Source organism: Homo sapiens, chromosome 20 (assembly GCF_000001405.40).
Source record: "Homo sapiens chromosome 20, GRCh38.p14 Primary Assembly".
Taxonomy (NCBI): domain Eukaryota; kingdom Metazoa; phylum Chordata; class Mammalia; order Primates; family Hominidae; genus Homo; species Homo sapiens.
This window is the reverse complement of record NC_000020.11, coordinates 40,858,607-40,874,413: the sequence shown is the minus strand read 5'-3', so window position 1 is coordinate 40,874,413 and position 15,807 is coordinate 40,858,607. Positions and strand designations below refer to the sequence as shown.

General features: G+C 49.2%; 1 annotated feature.

The window, feature by feature from the left end:
• Nucleotides 774-977: a silencer, noted in NCBI's record as "fragment chr20:39502077-39502280 (GRCh37/hg19 assembly coordinates)". NCBI's record gives its function as "represses an EF-1alpha promoter that drives an FKBP-Casp9 reporter gene in an ReSE screen in phorbol 12-myristate 13-acetate-treated (for megakaryocytic differentiation) K562 erythroleukemia cells {active_cell/tissue: K562(+PMA)}" and the evidence as "EXISTENCE:reporter gene assay evidence [ECO:0000049][PMID:32094911]".

Below are 15,807 nucleotides of genomic sequence, written 5' to 3'. Positions count from 1 at the left end.
TGACTATCCCAGGAAGAGTCAGAGTCTCTTGCCAGGGCCATAGTTATCTGGGTAGCTCCTTTGTGCAAATTAGGAAAGACCTCCTCCCCAAGCCTGGGTGGACACATCTTTTAGCAAATGAAAAATGCCTGTATGTACATCGGAAAAAGATGCTCCTTGTCTCAGAAACACAGTCCTCATAAGGGCTCACGGCTTGGCAAGTGGAGTGTGGGCCAAATTTCAGCCGCGTTCATCTCCTCAGCTGGCAAATTTTTGGCAGTGTGCTACCTGGATAATTATACGTGGCAGCCCTGTTGCTTTCCCTGAGATCCTACAGTTCCCTGTGCTTAATGGTGTGACTGTGAATACTAGTTTCCTATTGTTGCTGTAATAAATGACCACAGACTACAGTTCTGGAGTCACATATTTGAAGTGTGCCTCACTAGGCTAAAATCAAGGTGTTGGCAGGGATGCCTTCCTTCTGGAGGATCTAGGGGAAAATTTGTTTCCTTGTCTTTTCCTGCTTCTAGAGCCACTTGCATTCCTTGGCTCATGGCCCCTCCTCCATCTTCAAAGTCAGCAGTATAGCAGCTTCATCTCTCTGACTCGGACAACTGCTGATTCCATCACATCTCCTTCTCTGACTCTGATTCTCCTGTCTCCCTCTCACTTACAAGGACCTTGCGATTACATTGGGCCAACTCAGATAATCCAGGATAATCCCCCATCTCAAGTTCCTTAATTTAATCACGCCTGTAGAGTGCCTTTTGCTATAAAAAGTAATATATTCACAGGCTCTGGGCATGAGGACATGGACATCTTTGGGGGCCATTATCCTGCCTACCCTGCTGAGAGATCTCATTGTATCAAAATTGTTTCCTTCAGTAACTGTAAAATCCCTGCAAGCAGGATCACTGTTCTATGCAGTGCCGTCTTCACGGCCCAGCACATAGGCACAAGTCTGGCATAGAAAAAGGGTTCAGAGAATGTTTGTTGATTGAATGCATGAGGGCATGGGCACATAGGACCTCCTCTGGGAAACAGAGGCAGTAGGAGACACTTGCCTACAGCTTTCATGGTTTACACCAGTGGTTCTCAATTGGAGGCAATTTTGCTCCCTAGGGGTCAGACACTTGGTAATGACTGGAGACATTTTTTGTTCCAAGGGGGGCTGCTTAACACCCTACAATGCATGTGGGCATTGCCGGGCGCGGTGGCTCACGCCTGTAATCCCAGCAACTTTGGGAGGCCGAGGCGGGCGGATCACGAGGTCAGGATCGAGACCATCCTGGCTAACATGGTGAAACTCCGTCTCCACTAAAAAATACAACAAAAAAAAAAATATTAGCCGGGCATGGTGGCGGGCACCTGTAGTCCCAGCTACTCGGGTGGCTGAGGCAGGAGAATGGCGTGAACCTGGGAGGCGGAGCTTGCAGTGAGCTGAGATCGTGCCACTGCACTCCAGCCTGGGGGACAGAGCGAGACTCCGTCTCAAAAACAAACAAACAAACAACAACAACAACAACAACAAAAATAAAACAAAAAAGATTACAATGCATGTGGGCATTAAAGACTCATGCAGCACAAAATGTCTACAATGCAAAGGTTGGGAAATGCTGCTGATTTGGACCAGGACCGTGTTGCTGGAAAACCCAGGAGGCAGCTGTGTGCTGGGACTGGCAATAATATTTCAATGTGTCACATTCCTTATACCCCAGCAGGTTGAGTTTGTCCAGCTCCAATCTTCAGATGGGAAAACAGACTTCTGGAGGTACATCCACTTGCCCAGGTGTTACAGCTGGTTCTTGATGGGGTCAGATTTTGAAATTGGTTCTCCCTGCCCCGTACAGTGGGCAGACAGAAGGACATGAGGAAAGGTGGGGCCTCCCTCCAAGCATGCTGGGCAGGCCTGGCTTTCTTCCCCTCTCTCTGGTCACTCCTCTGCTTTCCTGATCATATTGCCCTTCCTGAACCCATCTTCTCTGCACTACAGTTGTCCCCAGATTCTGTACAATTTCACCCCTCTTTTTGCTCTCCCTCAGTGACCTCAGTTGCCTTCTTTGTGGGACAGCTCTTGAACCTTGGTTTCGCCCAAACTTCTCTCCTGATCTCTGGCCCCACGTTTTGTACTTTCTTGTGGAGCTACCTGCTCTCCGCATCAGCACAGCCCAAGTCTGATCATGCCACAACCTCTCAAAAACCTTCATGGCACCCTGTAACCACCACCTAAGTCCAGCATTCAAGGCCATGCACAGTTGAGTCTTGCTCTGGCCAAACCAAATACTCACTCCAAACCCACTTAGCATTTCCTCCCTCTCTTGTCTTTGCTCAAGCTGTTCCCTCCATCCTGAACACAATCTCTCTCATTCCATGTCTTTGTTTTCCTGGTACTGTCAGGAGTTCCGTGGACTTGCATCAAGCCCGTGGCTCAATTTGTGGTTTTGGTAGAAAGAAGTAGGAGGTTGACTAAATAATTAATTATTTTGTTTATTTACCTAGCTCACGTTTACAAAACACCATGATGTGACAGGCACAGGGTGGATTTGGGGCATATGGAGGTGGATGAGAAAGTTGTCTCAGTTCTTGTAAAGCTTACAGTCTCTAGGGGAGACAGATACAGAACAGCTAATTCTGTAATCCATTGTTTAGTTTCATTTGAGGTGGGGATGTTGAGGAGTTGTTTGGGCTTGGAGGAGTCAGGTCAGCAAAGCTTCCATGAGGAGGTGACATTTGGGTCCAAGACCTACTGGTCATTATCTGAATGTGTATTCTGTGCTGGAGTCCCAGGGCTGAACTGAGATGCCGCTGGAGCTGCAAGAGCCTGGAAGGCTGAAGGATGAGCTGCTGCTGAGAGGATGGCTCATCCAGGGTGAGTGTCAATCAGGGAGACCTCTGCCAGGCCCGTGGGCTCTGCAGAAAGATTACCTCCAGCGGTGGTTCCTGGGCAGGTTGCTCAGATGCCATGAATCTGGCTTCTAGGAAAGACCTCAGGCTGGGTAGGGGTTGGGGCCAGATAACCAAGGGGCCAGATAGCCAGGAGAGGAGGAGCTGTGGGTGGGGGTCAGCTGCACTGCAGAACAGCCCAGGGAAGCTGAGGATGCTTACACTATTGTGATGCCAGCCCCAGCTCGACTTCTTACCTGGAGTGTGACCTGGTTCTGCACTTTTGTAGCTGCTCACACCTCTGCTTCAGAGCTCCTAGCACAATTTGTAATTGTACAGTTGCTTTTGTAATTGATTGTCCCTGTCTCCCCTGCCACCTGTGAACCCACAGAGCAGACACCAGCTTACCACTGTACCCCTAGTACCTTGCACTGGGCCTGATGGGTGCTCAATACACATTTGCCAAATGAATGAGGATCCCCGAGGCTTGCCTCTCACATGGCCCAAAGGGGGAAGAGTTAATGGGGCTCTTTGGGGCTGTATGTACCCCCAAATTCATATGTTGAAGCCCTAACCACGGTACCCCAGAATGAGACCATATTTGGAAATAAGGTCTTTACAGATGTAGTTAGTTAAGATGAGGTTATACAGAAGTAGGTTGGGCCCCTAATCCAGTATTACTGGTGTGTTTATGAAAAAGGAGAAATCTGGGCTGGGTGCAGTGGCTCACACCTATAATTCCAGTACTTTGGGAGGCGGAGGTGGGCAGATCACTTGAGCCCAAGAGTTGGAGACCAGCCTGGGAAACATGACAAAATTCAGTTTCTACAAAAAATAAAAACAAAACAAACCAAAAAACAAAAAAACCCCCAAAATTAGCTAGGCATGGTGGCATGCACCTGTAGTCCCAGCTACCTAGGAGGCTGAGGCAGGAGGATTGTTTGAGCCTGGGAGGCAGAGATTGCAATGAACTGAGATTGTGCCACTGCACTCTAGCCTGGGTGACAGAGCAAGACCTTGTTGCACACATGCACATACACACACACACCACACATGGAGAAATCTGAACACAGGTGCATACACACACATGCAGAACGCCAGGTGAAGATTGGAGTTATGCTGTCACAGGCCAGGGAACTATCAGAAGCTGGGAGAGAGGCCTGGAGCAGAACCTTCCCTAGCTCCTTCAGAGGGAACATGGTTCTGCTGGCACCTTGATCTGGGACTTCTAGCATCCAGAGCTGGGAGAGAATAAATATCTGTTAAGCCACTTAGTTTGTGGTACATCAATACAGCATCCGTAGCAAACTACTACCATGCCACTCTGAGAATCCCATGTCCAGAGCTGCAGTTCTGCTTGGCTCAGGGTGACTTGGGCTGTGTGTGTGGGTTCACAGGTTGATGCAGGCTGAGCTTTAGTCCTGGGGAAGTTGAGAGGTCTCATTCTTTTGGTCAAGCTTCTACCAGGCCCAGTGGCCCAGGCAGGGCAGGATAGAGTGGGGCTCTCTTAGGCTCCCATTTCCAGTGTCTGGATTTGCAAATCAAAGGGCCTATTCCAGGCAGGTCCCCGCACCACAGGAGAGTGACAGTATCATTCTCCAGGCCCCTGTAGGCCTTGCTTAGATGGATTTCAAGGATCGGCTTGGGGAGTTGGCCGGAAGGGAAACTGTTAGCAGGCAGGAGCCGGATGCATCTGAAAGGAGCCTGCCCTGGGCCCTTCCTTCCCTACAAGCTGGCTGTGAGTCCTTACAGACAGACATCCTAGACCAGGTTAACCTTTAACCAGGCAGCTCCGGTTCTCAGCTCTTGGGCCTAGGGCTCCTGCCGGCCTGTGAGCAGGCCTGCTTTTCTGCTCCTGTCTCTGGCGAACCAGAGTCCCTGATGAATTGCCCACACACCCCCACCCTGAGCCCTGCCACCATGTTGAGTGCTGGTGTCCCAGCAAAGATGAATGGGCCCCACTAATGAGCTGGAGGTGGTGGTGCTGTGACCCCTGACCCCACACACTCGTAGCCAGAGGCTTGGGGAATGGCTGCCCCAAGCCTACTTAATGTGTCGGGCTGGCCTCTGAAAGAAAAGCACATTTATTGCTACTTAGAGAAAATTGATCTAATTGGGATGGAAGCATTCTGCTGATGGAACATGGAATTTTTATTAGGAGGGTGACTCGAGTTCAGCCAATGTATCCCAGCTGGAAGGAGGCAAGAGAATGTTTCTAGGGATTTTACCCAAAAAAACCTCTTTCCAGCTGATACCAAATATCTGAGGAGGTCTGGGTTTGAATTCTGGCTGCGCCGCCTACAGAGCCTACATTCTAGAAGCATTTGGCAGCTTCTATCAGGCCTGATAAATGAGAAGAAATTATGGCATTCTCGCTGATTTGTTGTGAGAAGAAAGTGAGATTATGCATGCATCAGGGCTATGGCACTGCCCCTAGCAAGAGACTGGGTCCAGTGGGAACTTCTCGAGCCAAGGCTACACATGGTTTCAGTCCGTTTGGCCAAACATCCTGCAATTCAATAACAAACCAGCCAATTCCTTGTTGGCTGCAATTGAGGTGACTCATTTGAGAGCTATTTTTAGACAGAGCTCTGGGCTCTGAAATGTGGGGGCCATACCCCCTTGATAGCCTCAGAATCACCCCTGGCTGCTGCTTCTCTGTCTCTTACCGCAGCCAAGTTTGTTTAATATCTCCTAAGTTTTCCTAAACTTACTGTGACCCCATCTTCCACTGCTCCAGCCTTCATATAGGCGGTCATGATCACTGACCACTCTGGCTGAGGGACTGTGTTTATCTCCTCCCTGGCTTCTCATCTTGTTTTCCCCTGGTCAAGCCTCCACACCCATTCTCCAAACCAGTCCACCCTCCATACCAGTTCCTCCCGCACACTGGTGCATTTTCTGCAAATGGATCTTTCTAAAACACAATTGGAATGAGATCACTCCTAAGCTTAAAACCCTTCCATGGCTCCCCACAGCCTCCAGGGTGAAGTCCAAATGCCTTAGCCTGCAATTTGGGTTCCTCAACAGGATAACTATATCATTTACCATTGGTTAAACTAGGATAGTTTTATCCAGGACAAATGGTAAATTGCATGGAATGCACAGTCAACAGGATAAACCAGGACTGTTCTAGGCAAGCTGGGATGTATGGTCACTCTATCTGAAGGCCAGATGGGCTGGAGGGACCAGTTTCAAGACGGTGCACTCATGTGGGTGTCAAGATGGTACTGCTATTGGCAAGAGGCCTCAGTTTCTCTCCATGCAGGCTCCTTCATAGGACTGCTTGAGTGTCCTCAGAGCAGGGCAGCTAGCTGGCTTCCCCCAAAATGAGTGGCCTAAGAGAGGGCAACGAGGAAGCCGCAGTGTCTCTTATGCTCTGCATGGTACATCCTGGTGCTTCTCATATCTCACCTGGCTCAAGGGCTGGCCCTTGTTCTGCCCCTTCCTCTTGGAAGCCACTTATCACATATTATTTAATATCATTTCTTCTGTATTCTGTTTGTTAGAAGCAAGTCACTAAGTTCAGCTGATTCTTAAGGGGAGGGTTCATTTTTTTAGAGGGAGTGTCATAGCATTTGTAGACACAATTTAAAACCACCACACCTTATTTAATAAGAGAGTTTCTTAGAGGATAGTCCCCAGGACACCTGTGTCTGAATCACCTGGGACATGTGAAAAAAAAATGTATGTTCCCATGTCTCATCTCAGCTGATTGAACCAAAACCTAAGGGTGGAGGGGGTATGAGGGGAGGTGAATGGGGCCAAGAATCTGTGTCCTGCACAAATTCTACTATGAGGTGGGAACTACTGCCTTCAGAGAATGGTGGTTAGAAACATGAAGTCCAGTTCTCTGGGTCAGAACCCTGGCTCAGTCACTGATGAGATGTTGTGACTTTATCTAAGTTACTTAAGCTCCATGTGTCTTAGTTACATCATCTGGAGAATGGGGATAGTAATAATACCTTCACCACTGTTCTAAGGTCTGAGATCTAAACTGGTTAAATTTGTAAATTTATAAAGTGCCTAGAACATTGCCTAGCAACTGGACAGTGATATAAACGTTTGTTAAATTAAAAAAATAACAAAAACAAACACTTGAAATGAGCTCATTTGAATCATCTGTTTACCTTTATATTTTCCATACTAGGTAGAAGCTTTTTTTGGAGGACATCTCTGTTCACCCAGTGCCTAGCCTTCAACCAGTGTTCCATATGTGTTTATGGATCAACTGTTGGTGGTTCTCAACTATGGCTGTCTTTTAGAATCACCTGGGGTACTTAGAAAATATAAAAGCCCATCCCCACAACAGGCCAACAGATTAGTGGCCTCTGGGCATGGGGTCTCCAGAAGATTCTCAGGTGTAATCAAGGTTAAGAATGATGAGAATGAGTGAGTGAAACAGGGGCTCCACTGCTGAACTCAAAATACAGCTTTCGCTCAGATAAGACTCTTCTAGAACAGTGTGATTGAGTATAGCACCACTGGGCAGAATGATGGACATTAAGGATTTTCCCAAACCCAAACTGGGACCCGCTAACTGACAAAGGATTTTTGCCCATATTCCCCGTGTTAACTGGAAGCTGCCACTTGAGTGTCAGAACAGTGGAATTTCTGGGACGTTTTATGATGGTAATGGAAGTGTTTATTTCAAGAAGACCCCATGGGTGGGTTGGTGGGAGTGGTTCTGGAACCTGTGTTTGGAAGACCTGGGATGCAGTCCCTGTTCTGACACTGTGGGGACCCCCACTGTGACTGGGGGTATCACACTGATCCCAGGGGGTTGCTGAAGGAGTCATGATGGTAATGCCCCTGGCATTACTTTGCAAATTGCAAAGGGAGCCAAAAGGCAGAGTTATATTATTATTAGTGAACATGAAACTATAGGTTGAGTATCATTTATCTGACTTGGGAGCAGCAGTGTTTCAGATTTGGATTTGTTTTTTTTGATTTTGGAATATTAGCAGTATACTTACCAGTTCAGCACCCCTAACCTAACATCTGAAATCCAAAATGCTCCCAAGAGCGTTTTCTTTGAGTGTGGTGTTGGCGTTCAAAAAGTTTCTGATTTTGGAGCATTTCAGATTTCAGATGTTTGGATTAGGGATCTTCAACCTGTCATTGGTAATCAGCAGTTAGGATGTGCTGGGCTCTGGGCAGCACCAGCTCCTGCCTCTTAGCATATAGAGAGTGTGGAGGTGGCAGGCTGTTTGCTGGACTGCTGCTTGGGTCTCTTCCTGGAGAGCCTGCATCTGGCCTTTCCCAGAGGGTCCCTGGGGCTCTGTGCATGTGCACAGTTGCTGCTGTTTCTTCTGCCAGCAGCAGAGTCCACATTTTTAGATGAGCTCTCTGGCTGGTGGGTGGAGAGTGAATTGGAGGCAGCTGGAGTGGAAGAAGGAAGGAGGCCTGGCTCAGGGTGGAAGCCGTGGAATAGAAGCAACCAGATTCAAGGTGAGTGGTAGAACAAGAGCAGAGAAGACCTGCAGATGTGAGGGCTAAGGGAAAATGAGAGAGAGGAATTGAGGAAGATTCCTTGGTGTTTGGTTTGAGCAACTGGGTGGATAGGGTGGTGCCATTTACTGAGATAGGAAACAGAAGATCAAGAGTTTTGTGTTGGCCATGTTAAGTTTGAAATGCTTTTTGGAAGTCCACATAAAGATGGAATTCTGGTGTTCAGGGGAGAGGCTGGAACCAGAGATGGAAAACAAAAACAAAAACAAAAACAAAGAAGTTGTCAGTATACTGATGATATTTCAACTTTGAGAATGGATGAGATAATTTATGGAGGGAGAGTGAGAGCAAGCTGAAGGTGAAGCCCTGGGTGCTCCAACACTTGGAAGTTGCATCGTAGAACAAAGAGCACTGGCAAAGGTGGAGAAGGAGCAGCCAGAGAAACAGGAGGAGAACCAGGCCTGTGTGATGCCACACAAAGCAAGAAAAGAAGAGGCTGCAAGGCCAAGCGGCAAGCTGGGCCGAGTGCTGCTGAGAGGGCAGGGGAGAGAGCCAGAGTGTCCCATGGGGGAGACAGATGAGACAGGTAGGGAAAGAGCAACCATGAGCCTTAAAGTCTGTACACATTCAATGTGCCCTGTCTGGAGGGCTGGGAAAGTTTCCTAGAACAGGCAGGATGGGGATGGGTGGAGCAAGATAAGGAGCAGATTGTGCGGACAAAGGACTCCTCTGACTCCGGGCCTCTGGGCCTCACCCAGGGGGTTCTTAGCAATGGGCCTGCTCTGCAGGCCCCTTGGGGAGCTGACCCAATCCAGCTGGAGCTGCAGCTGGAGGACGAAGGGGAAATTCCTAATTTTTAGAAACCAACTTGATTCCATTTCATATCTCAGTGGTTTGTCATGAATTTTATGGGCAACCTTCAGGGCCTCTGTATCAAAAAGTGCCTCATTAGTGATACATTTGGAATAAATCCACTTTTAGCTGTCAGGAGTCTCAGCCAGCTCAGCCTCATGGTTTGTGGCTCTAAGGGAGCGCCTGAGGCCTTGTACGTGGGGGCTCCAGCCATCTGGGTGGGTGAGATCCCAGGCTCTGAAGGAGCCCTCGTTGGGGATCCTGGGTCCCCAAGAAACTAAAGTCAATTTTCTTAGGCATCCTCATCTCTGTTCTGTAGTGCTGTGTTATGGCTATAAAGGGTGTGGAGAACTGACTTCTTTTGGTCTGCAATTGGCCACTTTTCTTGGGTAGGGTCCCCTTTATTGTCAGTTACTGACTTAACATATGGCCAGAAGACAGAGTTAGTCCCTGCTTTTGATTCCCAGATATGAAGCATTCCTCCCTTTTTCTATTCTTCCTTCCATCTGTCCATATCCATCCATCCATCCATCCATCCATCCACCCATCTTTATACCCATCCCTATACCCATCCCTCCTGCCTTCCCTCCCTCCATCCCTTCCTTCAGCCAACAGATATTTGACCTCCTCCCTTGCTATTCTCCCCTTTTCTCATTGTGTTCCACCTTCCTTGACCTCTTTTCCTCTTTTCTGTTCTTTGAAGTGCTACGCATATTCCCATAGCTGGAGAGCTTTTGCAGTGACTGTGCCTTTTGCCTGAATGTTCTTCCTCAAGAATCTCACATGGCCAACTCCCTCATCTCCTTCAAAATCTACTTAAGTGCCACCTGTCAGCAAGGCCTTCTAGACCACTTTGTTTAATTTTGCAGGTTGTTCTCTTCCACCCCAATGCCCCATCTCCCTTATCCCACCCTACTTTTCCTCTCCCTGTCCATGGAACTTCATCATCTTCTAATAGCCTATAAGCTTACTTACTTATTATGTTCCTTGTTGAATATGGTATGTAAGTGCCAGGATAGGACTCTTTATTTTGTTCACCTAGAGCAGTGCTAGCACATGATAGACATTCATTAAATCTCTGTTAATAAGTGAACACTTATTTAGCACCTACTATATGTCACAGGCGCAGGGCTAGGCACTAGGAATACAGCAGAGAACAGGACAGGCAAGGCCTCTCCCCTCTTAGGGCTCCCAGTCTAGTGAGTAGGATGGATAATAAACATAACACAGCAATAATGATCATTGTAGATTGTTATTACAGGGGTGAAGGAGGGAAGAGAGGAACATGTGTGATGGGGAAGATGAGGGAGACTGGCCTTAGTGAGCAGCTGTATTAGTTCCTAGGGCTGCTCTAACCAAGTAACACAAACTGCGTGAGTTAAAACAACAGAAATTGATTCCCTCACTGTTCTGTAGGCGGAAAGTCTGAAATCAAGGAGTCAGCATGCTCCCTCTGAAGGCTCTAGGGGAGACTCCTTGCCTCCTCCAGCTTCTGGTGGCCCCAGGCCTTCCTTGGCTTGTGGCAGGATCACTTGGCTCTCCGTCACCATCTTCACAGGGTGTTCTCACTGTGTCTCTGCACCCAGATTTCCCTCCCCTAGTAGGGACACCAGTCATTGGATGAGAGTTCACTCTAACCCCATATGACCTCATTTTAACTTGATTACATGTTCAAAGACTATTTCCAAATAAGGTCACATTCATGGGTTCAGGGGGTGGGGGGAATGAGGACTTGAACAAACCTTCTCAGGGGACATAATTCAACCCACAACAGGGGTCAGGGAAACACTCTTTGAGGTGACAGTTAAGCTGATAATGAAACTTGATAGTGAGCCAGCCATAGGGAAAGGGGTTAAGAGGGAGGAAGACTGCTCCAGGCAGGAGTCCCTGCAAGATCAAATCCCTGCCAAAGGAAGAGCGAGGCTGTGCTCTCCATCCTAGTAGTGGCCCCTGCAGGCCTCAGCTTCTCAACCCAGAGCCTGTCCTGACCAGGGCAGGGGTGAGGAGTGGATGGGTCTATATAGACCCCTAGCCTGGCAGCGGGGATGGGCTAAATAGATCATGATGGCTCCAAAATGCAACATTGACCTTGTCCTTTCATGGCTACCCATTGTCCTCAGGACAAAATCCAAGATGGGCTTCTTTTCTTCTTCCCCAGGCTGCAGAGGAGGGAAGAAGGTATGTAATGAACTCTGAGGCATACCTAGCTGAGTAGCCTTGGATAAGTCATAATCTCTTTGGAACTCAGTTTTCTTATCTGTAAAATGGAAGGAAACCATAGCCCTGCACATGGCTGTTGTGAGGATTACAGATCATGGAGGTAAAATGCTGAGCTTCCTACCCTCCCCTGATCACTAGGTCTTCCTTCCCTCTCCCATCAGATGCTGGACCCCCTCAGCCACCCTGTCCTTAATGTACAGTGAAGTCCAAAGCACAAGGCCTGATGCCCGGGAGCATACCTTTGGTCAACATTCCGGGAATGGAAAATTCACCTCCCTGCACCCACCCTCAGGCCTTGATGCTTATAAAATGCCCTATCCTCTCACCCGAGATCACACTGTTCCAGCCACCAGCACCCATGTGCAACACAGATGGGTGGAGGTCACCCAGAAAAGAAAGACAGGAAGAAGGAAAGCTGGAAAATTCACATGAATATGATTGACAGGATCCCTTTCAGTATTTGGACCACGATGGTCAATGTACTCATTTGTACAGGAGCTTGATGTTTCCACTAAGGGATGAGCTGAGATGAAAACACGACTTTATCTTCATGTGGCATCACTTGGGCTGGTTTGCATGGCCAGGGGTGATGGTAGAGCGTGCTGATCACACTGCACTGTGGCTAGTGTCTCATAACAGTGCCCCAGTCATCTTGGGAGCACATGGGGTCCAAGAGCCAGATTTGAGTCCTTGCTGTGTCCCCAGCCCCAGCACGGGGCCTGACCCTGAGCAGGTAGATGCTCAATGAGAGAATAAGTACATGCCTGAGATGTACCCTCCCCTGAGATGTACCCTCCTATGTTCTCTAGTAAGTCCCCAACCCGACCAAGCCATTGTCTTCATTTAGGTTCCTGCAGGAGCAGCCCCTGAGACAAGGATTTGAGTGCAGAAGTTTATTTGGGAGGTGACCCCAGGATGCATGTATAGGAGAGAGGGGAAATGAGAGCCGAGAGGAAAAGGAACGAAGATAGGGTGTGTTAATGGGCAGTGGCCGCTGTGGGGCTCTACCAGGGACCTCAGGGATCAGCATAGAACACATCCCTGAGTTATCCCACACGAAAGGCATGGGACGCTGGGGTTTTCATACACCATCTCGTTGTATATCACTGGTCGACAGCAGGTATGCTCTGGTCTCTCTGGCCATTCTGGCTCATGCCTGCTGGCTGAGCAGGCTTCCGCAGCCAGAAGCAGCCTCTGGCAGACGTGCATGTGGTGAGTGAGAACTGGCAGGTGGGTGGGGGAGTCAGAAATGTGTGCAGAGGAGAGGAGGAGATGCAGGCAGGGTGCTCTGAGGCTCCTAAGCTCTGGTGACCAACAAATCGCAACTCTTCAGATGAGATGCGCTGCTTCCCCTGACATTCCGCAGGCCCCCCAGCCCAGGGTGACTGATGGAGGAGCCCTTCCCAGGGTTCACGTGGGACTCAGCTGCACGTCCCTGGGGTGGGGGTCTCATTACATTCCCATCCCAGGCTGTGTCTGGCTTTGTGCCCTAGAGAGAGGGGCAGTGGGTGGGAGGAGGGAAGGCATGAGGGGGCCAGGCTGGTGGACTTTGGCTCTCCCCCAGACTGGAGCTGACTTGAGTGCTGAAGTGGGGATGAAAAACGAGCAGCATCGCATGCATTAAATATTTAATATTCTCTCCCTGGGGGGTCTCAGGGAAAGGACCCTATAATAAATACCACACGGGACAATTCTATCACAGAGCTCGTCAGTTAATAGCCTCGTTTGCTCTGACAGAAGCATTACAGGTGCTGGGTCTGGGGCACCTTTTGGCAGTGTGCCTCTGCTGGACCTTGGACCCAAGAGGACAGGGGGCAGCCTGGAGAGGAGGGACCTCCAGTTTGCCAGTTTTAACCCTCCTATGTACAGAATGAGTGAAATCATGGTTGTACAGAAGAAAGATTCATCTAACAAACTCACAACTTGGTACCTAGCAGGCCCTGTTGGAAGTGTTCTGTGAATATCAATTATAGATCCTGACCGTTGCTATATTACAAAGATTATTTCCATTAGGTAGGGCAACTGAGAAGCTGTCGAAGAACTCATCCAAGGTCACATCTCTGGGAAATGGATAAAGGCAGGACTTGAACACAGGCAGGCTGGCTCCAAAGTCTGGGCTCTTAACCACTATGCCTGGCTGCTGGGGCTCTGCAGCTGTGGGTTGTGATTCCAGCTCCAGCTGTGCGACGGGGCAATGTGGTTCGACCGGTCTGAGTTTCAACTGCTGTGTGTACAAAACTGGACAAAACTAGTCCTGCCTCATGGAAGTTGTGAAGATGGTAGGAGGAATCTCATGGAAAGCTTTAGTCACCGCATTCTGAGGTTAGCTCTTGGCATTACTTGAAAGCTGTTTAGGCTCTGTGTCCTCTTGGCAAGCTACTTGACCTCTCCAAGTATCAGCTTCCTTATCTATAAATAGATTTAAAAGTCCTATCTCGCAGGGATTCTGGGGATGCTCTTTGGCCTCCGAGCCTTGGGCTGAGCAGCCAATGTTCTGCTTGGTCTTGGGGAAGTCCCAGCTCGCTGTAGTGGGCCAGCCCTGAGTGAAGGGTCCTAGTGTGACTTGGGGGCCCAGGCCTGAGTTAGGAAGTCTTAGCATGCCCCAGTGTGACAATCCTGAGTCAGGGAGCTCAATATGTCTCTGGGGGGTCAGTCCTGAGCCACAGGGTCCCATATGGCTAAGTGGGCCATCCTGTGACAGGAAACCCATGCCCCCCGCACCCCGCAGATTCTCAGCCCTGTGCCCCTTTGCTGGTATTAAATTGCCTTGTGCTACCTGATGGGAAGTTTGCATCCCTTGAATGATAACTGAACTGATGTGGTCATGGAAGGCCACAGCCTGACTTGGACTACTTGCAGAGAGAGAATTCATAGTCCTGTGTGTTCAAACAAACATGGTAGAGCCTTGGACAGCCCATGAACCCAAACAATACTCTGGTAGCTCTGGGTTGCCCAGGGCTGCTATACTCAAATACCATGTTATCAGGCATTACTCTGGTTTGTGAGTTTGACTCGGGCACCAATGTGCATGTTTGCTACCTCTCTGGCTCAGGGCAAGAAGGTGGAAAGGGAAATATGGGAGTCTGGCCTGTGGCTGAGCTCAGGATGCCCTCCTTCTCCTGATAATGGTGACCTTCTCGATGACAATGTTCCAAAGATTGCAGGCTCTGGGGAGCCGCCCCTATCCCAGTGGTCCCATCACCATCCTGTTTGACACTTTGCAGCCTGGAGCTGCTGGTAGTGGTGGGGAGGGGGTAGCGATCGGCGGGAGGGAAGAGTGCACGGTCAGCAATGGCTTTATGGGTGGCCACTGGACTGTGAGGCAAAAGGAACCTCCAGGCTCCTCCCCAGCAGCCCCGTTCTCTGCCTGGCTGGAAGCAGCCAAGATGGGCTCAACTAATTTAATTTAATTCAAGACCATTAACGATGAGCTATCGTCTCTCTTTTTTCTCTTCTCTTTTGCAGCGGGAGGACAATGCTCCGATTCAAGTGCTGAGTTTTGCTGGCCCCCATTTCCTTGGGTAAAATAAGCTCAGATGGGAGTCCAAATCAGGCAGCCCCAGATTCTAACTCCCACTGCATCCCTCATCTCCACCCAAACAAACAAGTCCCTAGGCTTCTTTTCATCTGCAAATTCTATCAACCATTTTCCTAATGAAGAAGAGAGCCCTGAAACTGTGGTGAAATTCCAGGGCTGATGTGAGAATGCAAGGCTTCTTAGCGACTCAGGTGCACTTGCTACAACCACACAGAACAGCCTTTAAAACAACCTACTCCGTTTTTCCTGCTGTGTCTGAGCCTACTGGAGGGTGGGAGAGGCTCCTGTTGCCCTGCTCTGGGGACTCCCTGCTCACAGCATTTATTTCTGACCTAAGTGGAATTTCTCAGTGGTCTTACAAAGTAGAGACGGGACTGCTGGAGTTGTCCTCATTTGGCAGAGGAAGAAAGTGAGGACCAGAGGGAGACCAAACTGAGCCCAGGACTCACGGCTCCTGAATCCAGGGCTACTGTCTCTTGAAACCACAGGGGGAAATTTCTGACTAATTATCTGATAGTAATTATTCTGTTTTTATGGGGCCTTGAACAAGGCAGGCCACAGGGATCCCTGTCCTCAGGGCTGGGTGTGACAGGCACTTCATTTCCGGAGTGCCATGAGTAGAAGTATAAACTGTCACCCAGGTGCAGTCCTCAGAGAGCAGATCAAATGCTTGTTGAGCAAGAGGTATGGGGAGAAGCCATGTGGGCCAGGGACTCGAGTCCAGAGGCCTGACCCGCAAAGCCTCTGTGACAATGCCCTTCCCCTCTCAGGCTCTGGTCTTTGCTTCTGGACACTGGGAATGATCTGGGAGATCTCTGTGAGCATTGGCCTTGAGACTCTGAGTGGGATCTTAAGGAAAGGGAAGCCCTTTGAGCACTGTGCCT